Source organism: Homo sapiens, chromosome 14, assembly GCF_000001405.40.
Source record: "Homo sapiens chromosome 14, GRCh38.p14 Primary Assembly".
In the NCBI taxonomy this organism is placed as follows: domain Eukaryota; kingdom Metazoa; phylum Chordata; class Mammalia; order Primates; family Hominidae; genus Homo; species Homo sapiens.
In genome coordinates, this window is record NC_000014.9 from 49356891 (window position 1) to 49373911 (window position 17021).

General features: G+C 39.1%; 1 annotated feature.

Moving 5' to 3' along the window:
- Positions 9347–9974: an enhancer, noted in NCBI's record as "NANOG hESC enhancer chr14:49832955-49833582 (GRCh37/hg19 assembly coordinates)". NCBI's record gives its function as "activates a minimal SCP1, AML or CMV promoter by ChIP-STARR-seq in naive H9 embryonic stem cells {active_cell/tissue: H9 hESC(naive)}" and the evidence as "EXISTENCE:reporter gene assay evidence [ECO:0000049][PMID:30033119]".

Genomic DNA, 17021 nt, shown 5'->3' on the forward strand with positions numbered 1-17021 from the left:
CAACTGGCAGACCAGGAGATTCTCTCCCTTACCTGGCTTGGCAGTTCCCACGCCCAAGGAGCCTTGCTCACTGCTAGCACAGCAGTCTGAGATCGACCTGCAAGGCTGCAGCCTGGCAGGGGGAGGAGCATCCACCATTGCTGAGGCCTGAGTAGGTAAACAAAGTGGCAGGGAAGCTTGAACTGGGCTGAGCCCACCGCAGCTCCACAAGGCCCACTGCCTCTATAGACTCCACCTCTGTGGGAAGGGCATAGCTGAACAAAAGGCAGCAGACAACTTCTACAGACTAAAACGTCCCTGTCTGACAGCTCTGAAGAGGGCAGTCATTCTCCGAGCACGGTGTTTGAGCTCTGAGAACAGACAGACTGCCTCCTCAAGTGGGTCCCTGACCCCCATATAGCCTAACTGGAAGACACCTGCCAGTCGGGGCCGATAGACACCTCATATAGGCGGCTGCCCCTCTGGGACAAAGCTTCCAGAGGAAGGATCAGGCAGCAATATTTGCTGTTCTGCAGCCTCCGCTGGTGATACCCAGGTAAACTGGGTCTGGAGTGGACCTCCAGCAAGTTCCAACAGATCTGCAGCTGAGGGACCTGACTGTTAGAAGGAAAACTAACAAACAGAAAGGCATAGCATCAACATCAACAAAAAGGAAATCCACACCAAAACCTCATCTATAGGTCACCAACATCAAAGACCAAAGGTAGATAAAACCACAAAGATGGGGAGAAACCAGAGCAGAAAAGCTGAAAATTTTAAAAACCAGAGCGCCTCTTCTCCTCCAAAGGATCGCAGCTCCTCGCCAGCAAAGGAACAAAGCTGGACAAAGAATGACTTTGACAAGTTGACAGAAGTAGGCTTCAGAAGGTCAGTAATAACAAACTTCTCTGAGCTAAAGGAGCATGTTCTAACCCATCGCAAGGAAGCTAAAAACCTTCAAAAAAGGTTAGACGAATGGCTAACTAGAATAAACAGTGTAGAGAAGACCTTAAATGACCTGACAGAGCTGAAAACCATGCCATGAGAACTTTGTGATGCATGCACAAGCTTCAATAGCCAATTCAATCAAGTGGAAGAAAGAGTATCAGTGATTCAAGATCAAAGTAATGAAATAAAGTGAGAAGACAGGATTACAGAAAAAAGAGTAAAAAGAAAGAAACAAAGCCTCCAAGAAATGTGGGACTATGTGAAAAGATGAAATCTAGATTTGATTGGTGTACCTGAAAGTGATGGAGAGAATGGAACCAAGTGGAAAACACTCTTCAGGATATTATTCAGGAGAACTTCCCCAACCTAGCAAGACAGGCAAACATTCAAATTCAGGAAATGCAAAGAACACCACAAAGATACTCATCGAGAAGAGCAGCCCCAAGACACATAATCATCAGATTCACCAAGGTTGAAATGAAGGAAAAAATGTTAAGGGTAGCCAGAGAGAAAGGTCAGGTTACCCACAAACGGAAGCCCATCAGACTAACAGCAGATCTCTCTGCAGAAACCCTACAAGGCAGAAGAGAGTGGGGGCCAATATTCAACATTCTTAAAGAAAAGAATTTTCAACCCAGAATTTCATATCCAGCCAAACTAAGCTTCAAACGTGAAGGAGAAATAAAATCCTTCACAGGCAAGCAAATGCTGAGAAATTTTGTCACCACCAGGCCTACCTTACAAGAGCTCCTGAAAGGAAACACTACACGTGGAAAGGAACAACCAGTACCAGCCACTGCAAAAACATACCAAATTGTAAAGACCATCAACACTATGAAGAAACTGCATCAATTAATGGGCAAAATAACCAGCTAAAATCATAATGACAGGATCAAATTCACACATAACAATATTAACCTTAAATGTAAATGGGTTAAGTGCCCCAGTTAAAAGACACAGACTGGCAAATTGGATAAAAAGTCAAGACCTATCAGTGTGCTGTATTCAGGAGACCCATCTTACATGCAGAGACACACATAGGCTCAAAATAAAGGGATGGAGGAAGATCTACCAAGCAAATGGAAAGCAAAAAAAAAGCTAGGGTTGCAATCCTAGTATCTGATAAAACAGACTTTAAACCAACAAAGATCAAAAGAGACAAAGAAGGCCTTTACATAATGGTAAAGGGATCAATTCAACAAGAAGAGCTAACTATCCTAAACCTATATGCACCCAATACAGGAGCATGCAGATTCATAAAGCAACTCCTTAGAGACCTAAAAGGCAACTTAGATTCCCACACAATAATAATGGGAGACTTTAACACCCTACTGTCAATATTAGACAGATTGACAAGACAGAAGTTTAACAAGGATATCCCGGAATTGAACTCAGCTCTGCACCAAGCAGACCTAATAGACATTTACAGAACTCTCCACCCCAAATCAACAGAATATACATTCTTCTCAGCACCACATTGCACTTATTCTAAAACTGACCATATGATTGGAAGTAAAACACTCCTTAGCAAATGTAAAAGAACAGAAATTATAAGAAACTGTCTCTCAGACCACAGTGCAATCAAATTAGAACTCAGGATTAAGAAACTCACTGAAAACTACAAACTACATGGAAACAGAACAACCTGCTCTGGAATGACTGCTTGGTAAATAATGAAATAAAAGCAGAAATAAAGATATTCTTTTAAACCAATGAGAACTGAGACACAATGTACCAGAATCTCTGGGACACAGCTAAAGTAGTATGTAGAGGGAAATTTATAGCACCAAATACCCACAAGAGAAAGCAGGAAAGATCTAAAATTGACACCCTAATATCACAATTTAAAAAACTAGAGAAGCAAGAGCAAACAAATTCAAAAGCTAGCAGAAGGCAAGAAATAACTAAGATCAGAGCAGAATTGAAGGAAATAGAGACAGAAAAAACCCTTCAAAAAAATCAACGAGTCCAGGACCTGTTATTTTGAGATCAACAAAATTGATAGACCACTAGCAAGACTAATAAAGAAGAAAAGAGAGAAGAATCAAATAGATGCAATAAAAAATGATAAAGGGGATATCACCACTGATCCAACAGAAATACAAACTACCATCAGAGAATATTATAAACTCCTCTACACAAATAAACTAGAAAATCTAGAAGAAATGGTTAAGTTCCTGGACACATACACCCTCCCAAGACTAAACCAGGAAGAAGCTGAGTCTCTGAATAGACCAATAACAGGTTCTGAAATTGAGGCAATAATTAATAGCCTATCAACCAAAAAAAGTCCAGGACCAGACGGATTCATAGCCAAATTCTACCAGAGGTACAAAGAGGAGCTGGTATCGTTCCTTCTGAAACTGTTTCAATCAATGGAAAAAGAGGGAATCCTCCCTAACTCATTTTATGAGGCCAGCATCATCCTGATACCAAAGCCTGGCAGAGACATAACAAAAAAAAAAAGAATTTTAGACCAATATCCCTGAAGAACATCGATGCAAAAATCCTCAGTAAAATACTGGCAAACTGAATCCAGCAGCACATCAAAAAGCTTATCCACCACGATCAAGTGGGCTTCATCCCTGGGAGGCAAGGCTGGTTCAACATATGCAAATCAATAAATGTAATCCATCACATAAACAGCACCAACGACAAAAACCACATGATTATCTCAATAGATGCAGAAAAGGCCTTCAACAAAATTCAACAGCCTTCATACTAAAAACTGTCAATACACTAGGTATTGATGGAACATATCTCAAAATAATAAGAGCTATTTATGACAGACCCACAGCCAATATCATACTGAATGGGCAAAAATTGGAAGCATCCCCTTTGAAAACTGATACAAGACAAGGATGCCCTCTCTCACCACTCCTATTCAACATAGTGTTGAAAGTTCTGGCCAGGGCAATCAGGCAAGAGAAAGAAATAAAGGGTATTCGATTAGGAAAAGAGGAAGTCAAATTGTCCCTGTTTGCAGATGACATGATTGTATACTTAGAAAACCCCATCATCTCAGCCCAAAATCCCCTTAAGCTGATAAGCAACTTCAGCAAAGTCTCAGGATACAAAACCAATGTGCAAAAATCACAAGCACTCCTATACATCAATAACAGACAAACAGAAAGCCAAATCATGAGTGAACTCCCATTCACAATTGCTTCAAAGAGAATAAAATACCGAGGAATACAACTTACAAGAGATGTGAAGGACCTCTTCAGGGAGAACTAAAAACCACTGCCCAATGAAATAAAAAAGGACACAAACCAATAGAAGAACATTCCATGCTTATGGATAGGAAGAATCAATATCGTGAAAATGGCCATACTGCCCAAGGTAATTTATAGATTCAATGCCATTCCCACCAAGCTACCAATGACTTTCTTCACAGAATTGAAAAAAAACTACTTTAAAGTTCATATGGAACCAAAAAAGAGCCCACATAGCCAAGACAATCCTAAGCAAAAAGAACAAACCTGGAGGCATCAGGCTACCTGACTTCAAACTATACTACAAGGCTACAGTAACCAAAACAGCATGGCACTGGTAACAAAACAGATATACATAGACCATTGGAACACAACAGAGGCCTCAGAAATAACACCACACATCTACAACTATCTGATCTTTGACAAACCTGACAAAAACAAGAAATGGGGAAAGGATTCCCTATTTAATAAATGGTGCTGGGAAAACTGGTTAGCCATATGTAGAAAGCTGAGACTGGATCCCTTCCTTACACCTTATACAAAAATTAATTCAAGATGGATTAAAGATTTAAATGTAAGACCTAAAACCATAAAAACCCTAGAAGAAAACCTAGGCCATACCATTCAGGACACAGGCATGGGCAAGGACTTCATGTCTAAAACACCAAAAGCAATGGCAACAAAAGCCAAAATAGACAAATGGGATCTAATTAAACTAAAGAGCTTCTGCACAGCAAAAGAAATTACCATCGGAGTGAACAGGCAACCTACAGAATGGGAGAAAATTTTTGCAATCTACCCGTCTGACAAAGGGTTAATATCCAGAATCTACAATGAACTTAAACAAATTTGCAAGAAAAAAACAAACCCATCAAAAAGTGGGCAAAGGATATGAACAGTAACTTCTCAAAAGAAGACATTTATGCAGCCAACAGACACATGAGTAAATGCTCATCATCACTGGTCATCAGAGAAATGCAAATCAAAACCACAATGAGATACCATCTCACACCAGTTAGAATGGCGATCATTAAAAAGTCAGGAAACAACAGATGCTGGGGAGGATGTGGAGAAACAGGAACGCTTTACATTGTTGGTGGGAGTGTAAATTAGTTCAACCATTGTGGAAGACAGTGTGGTGATTCCTCAAGGATCTAGAACTAGAAATACCATTTGACCTAGCCATCCCATTGCTGGGTATATACCCAAAGGATTATAAATCATGCTACTGTAAAGACACATGCACACATATGTTTATTGTGGCACTATTCACAATAGCAAAGACTTGGAACCAACCCAAATGTCCATCAGTGATAGACTGGATTAAGAAAATGTGGCACATATACACCATGGAATACTATGCAGCCATAAAAAAGGATGAGTTCATGTCTTTTGCAGGGACATGGATGAAGCTGGAAATCATCATTCTCAGCAAACTATCACTAGGACAGAAAACCAAACACCGCATGTTCTTACTCATAGGTGGGAATTGAACTATGAGAACACTTGGACACAGGGCGGGGAACATCTCACACCAGGGCCTGTCAGCAGGTGGGGGACTGGGGGAGGGATAGCATTAGGAGAAATACTTAATGTAAATGACAATTTGATGGGGGCAGCAAACCAACATGGCACATGTATACCTATGTAACAAACCTACACATTTTGCACATGTACCCTAGAACTTAAAGTATAATACAAAAAATAAAGGGAGAGAAAATAAATATTCGATACACACTGGCATGACTGGCAATAGCTCAGGGGTTTCAAACAGGAGTTCACAACTCTTAGTGGGACGTGAATGCAGAACATGCCAGTATTGGGGGCAAGGTAGAATAAAATAGAATAGGTGGAAATGTGACACGGGGCAGACAATCAGTGTATCACCTGTATTTTGTCTCCTAAAACAAACTATGTGTGTACACTAGCTATCAATACTTCTTACTGTAGTCATGGTCTAAAATGTTGGAAAGCCACTGATATGATTTTGAGACTTACCTGGCATTATTGTGAAAACTGTGTTGGATCAACAGTGAGGATGTTAGTTTTACACTCACAGGTGAGGGTAAGCTTTGCTTTGTTCTGGAAATATTACCCTTCTGGAACCACTTTATCTCTTTTTGGATTCTGCAATCCCTGCAAACAGACGCCAATGCTTCAATTAAATCAGAGCTCCTAGTTTTGTTTCATTTTGCTATAATCACTTTCTGGAAGCACACTTTGGAATTCAACATTGTTGCATCTAATCTTAGGCAATAAATATAAGTGATCATGTGGGACCAAAAAAAATCCATTCTGTGTAATTGATCATCTGTAGTGGATTTACAAATTACATAGTCTCAACATTTTTTAAAGAAGGTTTCTGGTACTTAGAAACTCAAGGAACAAAACCGGCTCTCAAAACTCAGGAGATTAACCCAGTCATTCACAGTAAGGTATATCTCGAAAATCCACACATTAAAGGATCCCTTGAGGTCAGATTTTTTAGTCTAATAACAAAACGATACTGAGCTAAAAATCAGTGGGGGTCAGCCATAGGGCGAAAACGAAAGACTGCCTGAAATGGCTCTCCTTTTTCAACAATTTAACTTAGACCTCAGTTAGCAGGACTTCTACTCAGTGTCATGGTAAAAACTAAACTGCATCATTTTATTTTAAAAGAAAACTGTTGACACTCAATGTCAGTCCCAGACACTCTAGCTAAGCTTCAAAATGGAATGCCCTGAGTCAATTGTTTTAAAATACCTTCCAAAAACACATGATATTTGACTATTAGTTTCTTCATCCACTACACCTGCATCAAGACCCACCTAGGATGATTAGACAGTGACATCTCTTCATCCCTTCTCCTCCCCCCATCCTCCCCCTAAATCTCACACGAAACAGGGAAGCAGGGCAGACTAATCTGTTTGTGAGGTTTGTGCTTGCATGTGTCGATGTGCGCTATGGGATCTTAACATTGATTGCTATTTATTTTTATGTGTATTGGTTTGTCTGCAAAGGATAATATATCAAGTTGATATCTGACAGCTTCCTTCCAACTGAGACCTTGCAGCATGAATCCAGCCCAGCCCACTTTCCCTCCCAGCTAGACTCCAGCTGTTACTCCTCTGCCACTGAAAATTGGCAGCACCCTCCTCCCCACAGCAGATTTTGTGTGTGTGATTGATTGGGATTTTATTTGTGATTTTTCCTGTTCTTAACTTTTCCAAGAGATACACGATTCCCAGATGACTCTGCACTGGCTTGCAAAATTCAGAAAGTAGCCTCTGCAGGAGAACTCTGCCCCTTTGCTTTTGTTTGCTTGTTCACTTACTCTAAAGAAAATGAACTTCTGGTCAATAATCACTTGCTCCAAAAAGGGCACAGCCACTAAAGTACACCAAAAAATCTAAAAGACATTAAAAATATTTCAGGGCCAGAGAAAAACTACCTTTTTCAAGGATCCCAGCACATGCAGACAGGGAAAAGATAAGAACCCTACAGTCTTTGTCTGATAATAAGCTTAAGTGAAAGCAATTTCCCAACGCAGAGCTCTCTTCTGTGGTTTACCTCACAAAAAGCCTGTGGTGGGAATTTTTTTTTCCTTTGAATCATGTTCCCCTTCACATTCAGTTGATAAGAAGCCTTCTTTTGTGAGAGCCATTTGATGTTCAAAGGGCTCTGCAAAATGCATGTGGACAGCATTTGGAGAATTCTTAGAACACCAATCTAAATTTGGGTCTTAATAATGGGAAAGTTTTGTTAGCTATAAACAAACTTCAATGCCAAATTCTAAAGAGTAAGAACAGTTGTCATCAGCCTCTGAAGTCAAGGGTAGGTTAGAGTTCGACAGTTCACACATTTCCATCCCTCACCATTTAAATGTCAGAAACAGCCACTACTGGACAAAGGATACTGTCAGGCTGTCACAGGTAAATCCAATTCTCTGCTGGGCTGCTGTCCAGTCATAACACAATAGTGCAGAAGTATCCATTCTCCATTTTTCAGAAAATTCCTACAATTAAGACACTGCTCTGGGCTTCCCATAAGCATATGAAGCTCCAGGAGCACACAGGGGAAGATGCAATTAAGACATGCATCCTTTTCCCCAATTACTTCTTTGTAAGATTTTTTCCAGCAAAGGAACAGAAATTTAACCCCTAGGAAAAGTAGGCAGGAACTGAGTCAAAGAGAACAGACCAATTGCTGTTGTTTTCCATTCCCATCATTTGGTGAAACTCTAAAAACAAACCACTTTTGGTATGGGTCTTATTTGGGGTTATTCTTTTCACTTTCCAGGAGATTCCTTATTTCTCAGTCAAGAAGAAGGAATCTCAATTGTCTTGCAAAAATTCAGAATGTGAACTCTAGAGAGAGCTGCCTCTTTGCTTTTTTTGTTGGTTTTTTTGTTTTGTTGTTTTGTTTTTGTTTGCTAATTCTAAGGAAAATGAATTTCTGGTAAAAACTACTTGTCCCTGAGAGAACACAGCCACTAAAATACAATGAAAAAGCTTTACAATAACACTCACCAGTTGACCATTTGATTCCCCTGTTCTGATTTACCTTAGCCTCTAGTTAACCATAATAATAAAACTAACCAAATGAATTGGGCACTTACTAGATGCATCTTACTGTTTCACAAAACTCCATTTAATCCATATGGATTCTCCCTCAACTGGGGGTAGGGGAGTGCAAGACTAGTCCCACCAAAACATAAGTTGTGCAATGAGTTAACACAGAAGCTGCTGGCTGGGTGCGGTGGCTCACGCCTCTAATCCCAGCACTCTGGGAGGCCGAAGCAGGCAGATCACCTGAGGTTGGGAGTTCGAGACCAGCCTGACCAACATGGAGAAACCCTGTCTCTACTAAAAATACAAAATTAGCGGGGCATGGTGGTGCATGCCTGTACTCCCAGCTACTCGCGAGGTTGAGGTAGGAGAATCACTTGAACCTGGGAGGTAGAGATTGCAGTGAGCCTAGATCGTGCCATTGCACTCCAGCCTGGGCAACAAGAGCAAAACTCCGTCTCAAAAAAAAAAAAAACACACACACACACACACACAGAAGCTTCTACTAGCTCTATATTTTCACTACACCTAAACCTACCTCCCAAACCCTCCCGACACCACTCCTGAGTCACAGACCCATACATCCAACTCAACTTAGATATCCTAAAAGCACTACGAGCTCAGTGTCTCCAAAACTTAATTTGTCTTTTTTACCAACCTTCTCTTCCTCCTGTTTTCTCTACAGTGGTAGTAAATGGCATCAACATCCACCCAGAACCTAAGCCAGAAACCATTCTAGACTCCAATCATTCTAAACTCTTCCTTTCCCCTCAACCCCCATATCCACGTCCACTGACCAAGACAGCCTTCACATTCCCCTCAGCTTGACAAAACTTTAGACAGGCTTCTTGACCCTAGGCCCTGATCTCCCTTTTCTTAGAGCATTTACTTTGGGAAATATGTAAATTCTTTCTCTGTCCTTTTGAGATGTGTGTAAATGTTTTTAGAAGGCTTTTGCCAGTTTTTCAACGTAGGCCTGTTTTTCTCAAGGACTTGAGAGCCATCTCTTTGAAATGTAAATGTCAAGGAAGATAGTCCCAGGCTCTGTGGGAGGGTAGGAGCCTAACTTCAGCCAGCACCTTGCTCTAAGTTGTAAAACTATCTCCTGTCAGAAAGATAAGAGAAAGTTGACTTTTCCTTTGGGTAAAGCCATTTAGCAAACACAAACCACCTCTGTTCTCCCTCTCAATCCAGCTGTTACAAATCTTCCCACCCTCCTTTTCAGTGGAGTTGAGTTCAGAGTTCTGTTCTCTCTCCCCATGACAATATCCTTGAAAAAAGTCTGTTGTCTTGTCTGTTTAACTTTGGCACAATTTTTGCTATGACACCAGCCATCCCAACTCCTTGACACCTGTCAAGTGTTGTTTTTTTTTTTTCCTCTCTCATTCCAGGGCCAAATCTTTAATTTAAGTTGCTGTCTCACTCATCTGGATGACTACAATCATTTCCTAATCAGCTTCCCTGATTTCAATCTTCCTCCCTTCCAATCCCTTCCCTATACTGCTGTAGCCAAAATGGTTCAAACACCAATGTTTAGTTCACATACTCCCCCTACTTAGAAACCTTCAAAGCTTCCCCATAGTTCCTATGATGGTGAGACCACACACATCCAGGTTACCCCGAGATAGTCCTAATTTACACATGTTGTGCCAGGTTAATTATCAGCTTCCTTTTACTCTAAAAATGTCCCAGTTAGAAGATAATAACACCCTAGTGTAGTGTCTAAGGACTAACCTCCCACATCATCTAACATTGCTCTTCTACACACACCATACTTCAAACACAACAAACTGCTTATGGCAATGGACCTCAACCCTGGCTGCAAATTAAAATCATCTGGAAAGTTTTGTAAATGCATCTATGATCCAGCTCAATACCAGACTAATTAAATCTGACTTTCCAGGGGTGGGCATTAAGCATTGATATATATATATTTTTTTTTTGAGATGGACTCTCACTCACTCTGTCACCCAGGCTGGAGTGCAGTGGCACCATCTCAGCTCACTGCAACCTCTGCTCCCGGGGTTCAAGCAATTCTCCTTCCTCGGCTTCTCAAGTAGCTGGGATTACAAGCATGTGCCACCACGCCTGGATGATTTTTGTATTTTCAATAGAGACAGAGTTTCACCATGTTGGCCAGGCTGGTCTCAAACTCCTGACCTCAAGCGATTCGCCCACCTCAGCCTCCCAAAGTGCTGGGATTATTAGTGTGAGCCACCACCCCCAGCCTGACAGATTTTTTTTATAAGTTTCCCAGATGACTCTCATGTGAAACCCAACTATAATAATAACTGCTGACATGTGGTTGCCAGGTCAATCATCTGTGAAGCTTTCTCTGCTCTTTCACAGTAGCCTGTACATGCCTTTATTACAGAACTAAAACTGAATTACCATCATTTATTTACACGTCCATCAATAGCTAAGTTCTGTTGATTCTGTGTTCAATCTGTCTTTTGAGTCTGTATCTCCTTCTCATTTTCCTTCACTAGTTCATCATCACCTTTCACCCAGGTGGCTGCATAAGCTCCCTATTGGTTTTTCTGCTTCTAATCCTCCCCACCCAAATTGTTCCCAGTTATCTTCTGTAAAACCAGTTGAATGGTATCATTCCATTATTCAAGTTTGTGATGGTTCATCACCTACTATAGGATAATGTCCAAAGTCTACGGTGTAGAATTCAAAAACCTTCCCAAGAGATCCCAACATGCCCTAGATTCCCCTCACTTCTAACACCACCCACCTTGGTCCCAAAGGGTGACTCATTCATCTTTGATCAAGCCACCATGCTTCTACGTGAAATGCCTTATTCTCATTTTCCATCAGGCAAACTCCTTATTTTTAAAAGTTCCACTGAAGTATTGCTCCTGCAAAGCTGTCCCCAGCCAAGAATTAACTGCTTCCTCCTCTCTCCCACATTTTCCCACTTTAAATAGCTATAGATCATTCATCACTATTTGGTTTGCATTATGTAAATGCCTGCCTCTGTCACTGGATGTGAACATCTCTAGGGCAAAGGTCAGTAATACTAGTAACTATCACCCTCACTAAGTGATTGCTGAAGTCATTTCAGAAAACATTTTTAAATCCCTAGCTGATAAATTGAAGATAAGTATCTTTAATCATTTCTGTCTCTTCATCCATTGAAGAAAGTGGCAGTGAAAATAACTTAGATCTCCAAGTCCCAACATTATAAGAATTGGAGAGCTCAAAGGAATCTTTGGAAACTAGGTCCAATATACATTTTGCTGGCCAAAAAAAAAAAAAGGCTCTTTCCAGAATAAAATACTTCCAAACATAAAATCTATTAGGCTATTGCCATCTAGCTTTTAAATTTTGATTTTGAGTTTAAATCATGTTCAATGAAAGGTCACTTATTGATAGAAAAGACAAAGCCAAGTGATTTCTCACAAGATCTTAAGAGTGTTTAAGGATGGTTTCTCATTTCTAACCTTTATGGTATAGTTTCTAAGCCTCTGCTTTTATGCTAACAGCAACATAAGCTGCAAATTTGAGAGTGATAAACACTTTTGTCCCGTCAAAAGACTGATATTGCTCTAGAAAATCTGCTAGATCCCTAATTCTGGGTTAGTAATGGCTTATTTCTATAAAAGTAATATCAAATGACAAGGTCTCCCAGAAACTTCCAGGAATTACTTCTACTATTTTACCAAATATCAACATGGAATCTGCCTCTGCATTTTGGGTAAATGCAGTCTTAGAAGAAATGCATTGGGGTGGGATTTAGAATATTTTTTTCTGAAATATCTGGAACACATACTCTTCTCTGAAAAATCTCAAATTCAAAAATGCTAATAAATGCCTTGTGCTACAGATGAAAATCTCTTACTAGTTCCTTAAATGATCTGTCTTCTATAAACAGATTGTTACTTGGACCAAATGTGTGTGGATCTCTTCCCTCTTGGGCAATATAATGAGGTGGCATCCACTGAATTAGAACTTATGCCAGCAAATATTTTTTAATAATTGTGTATTTATTTTACTGTATCTTATTTATATATATATTTATTTAGTTATATTTATATATATTTTTATATAAATATTTGTATATATTTATATATAAATATTTATATATATTTATATATAAATATTTATATATATATATAAATATAGGTATATTATATATATTTATATATTATATATATACCTATATACCTATATATAGGTGTATATATATATATACCTATATATGTGTGTGTATATATATATACCTATATATATGTGTGTGTATATGTATACCTATATATGTGTATATATATACCCATATATGTGTATATATATACCTATATATGTGTATATATATACCTATATATATGAATATATATATACCCCCATATATATATATGAATATATATATACCCAATATAATCCACCCACAAATATTGTGGCTTAGAATGAGATAATAGTTGTTATGGCTGCAGTAAACCATCTTATTCAGGTTGAATAAAGCACTGCACCCTGGCATAGGCGTGAGTGTTTCAGATCTTCAGTAACTGAATTTCTTAACTGTCTGGAAGCATTGCTAATAATAAACAATGGCCTAGACCTCTAACAAGCCTGCTCATATGGCATATTCCGCAAACATCACTATGCTCCTCCTAGGCATGTATAAGCATATGTAATTTTATCAGAAAAGGCAACAAATTGTCCTTGGTCCTTTCTGATCATGTGCGCATGTGAGTGACACTGTCAGTACTAAGTCAAAGCAAAATTAAAAAATAATACTATTGAAGTAAAACCTCCTCTGTGTCTTAAACTAGGTAACATTAAACCTACTATTCCCTTATTATTGACTGCCCCCAAAATTTCATTCTTCTCAAGGAACTAATTTTTAGTTTTGCATTTTATAAATCAATGACATTTATAATATTTAAAATGTTATATGTAATTTTAATGATTATAGTATTTACAATTTGATACTCTATAATTATAGCATTTATAATTTGATATTTTTCTTTGAACTTTATTTAATAACAGCATGGGGCTTTTAAATTTTAGTATTGCAGTTATCTTCTATTTGTGATAAGAAACTGGTTTTTACTGGTAGTAATAATATAACATTTCCTTTTAAAATGAATTTAAAGTTAAAATGAAAGAAGTCTATTCAAAGAAAAATCATAAGTAAATAAGAATATAGAGGACAGGAAGACATGAACACGGCATAAAAGATGTGCTTTGAAAACACTGTCCTAGGGAATAGCCCTTTATAGAGGTGAACACTGTTCCACAGAAAGTAAACAACTCACAGTTTTGCCACTGCCACTTCCTAAACCTGGAAACACATAAGCAGACAACCACGAAGAGTGCTGCTCTGGAAAACATGGATAAAACTTAACATGTTTTTAGAGCATTTGGTTTTTTTGATTGTATAGAAAAACTCTAACAGAGATGAGTAATTTTTTTAATCAACACCCAGATAACAGTTTAGCCCTATTTTTTTTTTTTTTTTTGAGACGAGACGGAGTTTTGTGCAATGGCGCGATCTTGGCTCACTGCAACCTCCGCCTCCCGGGTTCAAGTGATTCTCCTGCCTTAGCCTCCTGAGTAGCTGGGATTACAGGCATGCACCAACACGCTGGGCTAATTTTGCATTTTTAGTAGAGATGGGGTTTCTCCATGTTGGTCAGGCTGGTCTCAAACTCCCGACCTCAGGTGATCTGCCCACCCTGGCCTCCCAAAGTGGAGTTTAGCCCTTTTTTAAACACTCAACTCATTCCTCCTTTATGCAATGTAAGATCTCAAGCTTCTCAGTGAGACTCACCACTGCAGGGTGAAAAATAAAGAAACTCTATCTCGCAAGTATCCTCACCAACCAGAGAAATATTATGTTGTGCATTGTCTTTCATTGTTGGTATTTTAAAAATAGGGTTCCCTACACACATATTTGAAGCTACATTCTAGCGCATATGTTTTTACAAACCCAAACTCTCCATTCTGGAGATTTCCTGAGACACATTCCTTACGGAGTCATGTACGATAAGCTGGGAGTTACTGTCTCCTTTATCACCATTTTGAAAAGCAGAAGCTGCTCTCAGCAACTGAGGCACTATTCGTTACTCCCTACATGGGCACGCTATAATTACTTCAGACTGTTTAAATTTTCTCAATGATAGTGAAATGCAGTTAGAAACCATAGTTAACTTGCCACAATAAAGACAAATTGTAGAGAAATACAATTAAACTAAGTTATTTCCATTCTTATTTTAATAACATGAGAAAAGAGAGTTTGAGGTAATATGGCAACTCTATAGTTTGCAATATAAAGTGGCAGTAGTAATATTATTTTTATAATAAAAAATGGTGTGGGAGCAATATAAGCCTATCCTGATTAACATTCCTAACCTTGCAAATATGCAGGAAAAATTTTTTTCTACAATAATAAGTTCCAAGATTAAAAATGGTTCAACTATACTTTGACAGATACTACATTGATACTGTGTATTGTCAAACAAAAAAGTAAAACAGACTATAAAATAAAATCACAAACTAGGAAATGTAGGGAAGCAACAACATAAGGTACACTTGGAAATTTCAGTGTTCTTCTAGTACTTTTTCAGTAGTAGAGTAGTCATCAAGAATTTCTAATGCACCCAAACTCTTTGCATGAAAAATAAATGAGACTGCTGAGAAGATTATTGTAGATATGCAGTATGGCACATGCCACTAGTTGTCCTTCAACAATTATTCTCCACTTCTTTTATAATAATATAACCTCCTATTTTTAATTGGGTACATGGATAAAGACTACATTTCCCAGCCACCACTGAAGAGAGGTGTACCAATATGACTTCACTTCTGAATGATAAGATATAAGCGAAGTATAAGATGAAACACCCAGAACATGTCCTTAAAGGAAAGGGCACAACCTGCCACTATCCCTTTCTCCTTCCTGCTGGCGGGAGGACAAACCCGATGGCTGGAACAGGAGCTCTGTCTTAAGCCATGAGATGGCCTTATGCATAGGACTATAATGTATATATTAAGGAGTGATAAAGTGAGTTTATCTGAGAAGAGAGACTGGTAGATCCAAAAAGGGATCTACCTCCTTTTCATTTAATAATCTTCTGTACTCTTCCAGTTTTTTCTTTTTCTTTTTAGTGTGGATAGGAATAAGAGGAATGTGCAAGAGGGATTGAGGAAGAGACTTAAAGATGTGTCAGAATGAAATGAACTTAAGGAGAAGCGAGAAGATCTGAGCAGTATAAGCGGTGTGCTTTAGTGAGTGCTACTGGTGCTCCACCTATATCCCCATTACAAACTGGCATGCTCATCCCTACCCGTGAGTATGGTTATCCCTCAATTTCCATGGGGAATTCGTTCTAGGACCTCTAGCAGTTACCAAAATCCACAGATGCTAAAATCCCTGATATAAAATGGTGTAGTGTTTGCATATAACCTATGCACAGCCTGCCATATACTTCGGATCATCTCTTGCTTCATACCTAATACAATGTAAATGCTATATAAGTAGTTGTTGTATGGTATTGTTTAGAAAATAATAAGAAAAAAAGTCTGTACACGTTCAGTACAAACACAATTTTATTTCCGAATACTTTCCATCTGCAGTTGGTTGATCCCAGGGATGCAGAACTCATGGACGCTGAGAGGGCCGACAGTATTGCCTGAAGACAACTTAGAGTTGTCCCCTTCAAGGAGAATTTACCTGGGCCAAATGGCAATTGCCTTGCCCAGGAAGCCTCACCCACTACCCTAGGAGGCAGATCTTGACCAATGACTGAACAGAATGTGCTTCAAGTTGGGATCAATTTTGTGGCTCACACCTGTAATCTCGGCACTTTGGGAGGCCAAGGAGGTCAGATCACTTGAGCCCAGGAGTTCAACACCAGCCTGGGCAACATAGTGAAACCCCATCTCTACTAAAAATACAAAAATTAGCCAGGCGTGGTGGCACACCCATGTAATCCCAGCTACTCAGGGGAACTGAGGCACAAGAATTGCTTGAGCCCGAGAGATGGACGTTACAGTGAGCCAAGATTATGCCACTGCACTCCAGCCTGGGAGACAGAGCAAGACTCTGTCTGAAAAAGATGTAAAAACTAAAAATAAAAATAAAAGATGGGATCAATTTAATAGTAAAATTTCCACTCCAGGGCTTGTGGGGCCCTTGTGGTGCCAGAGCTAGCTAGTCTATAGTTGAAATCACATTCTTATTTATCTTTTTTCCCTTGCCTTATCCTACTTTTCTCCTACCCCTTCTATTGCATGCACTTCTCCAATAAATCATTGGATTTACTAGGGCTCCATGTCAAGCTCTGCCTCTAGGGGACACAATCTAAAAACCACTATATGG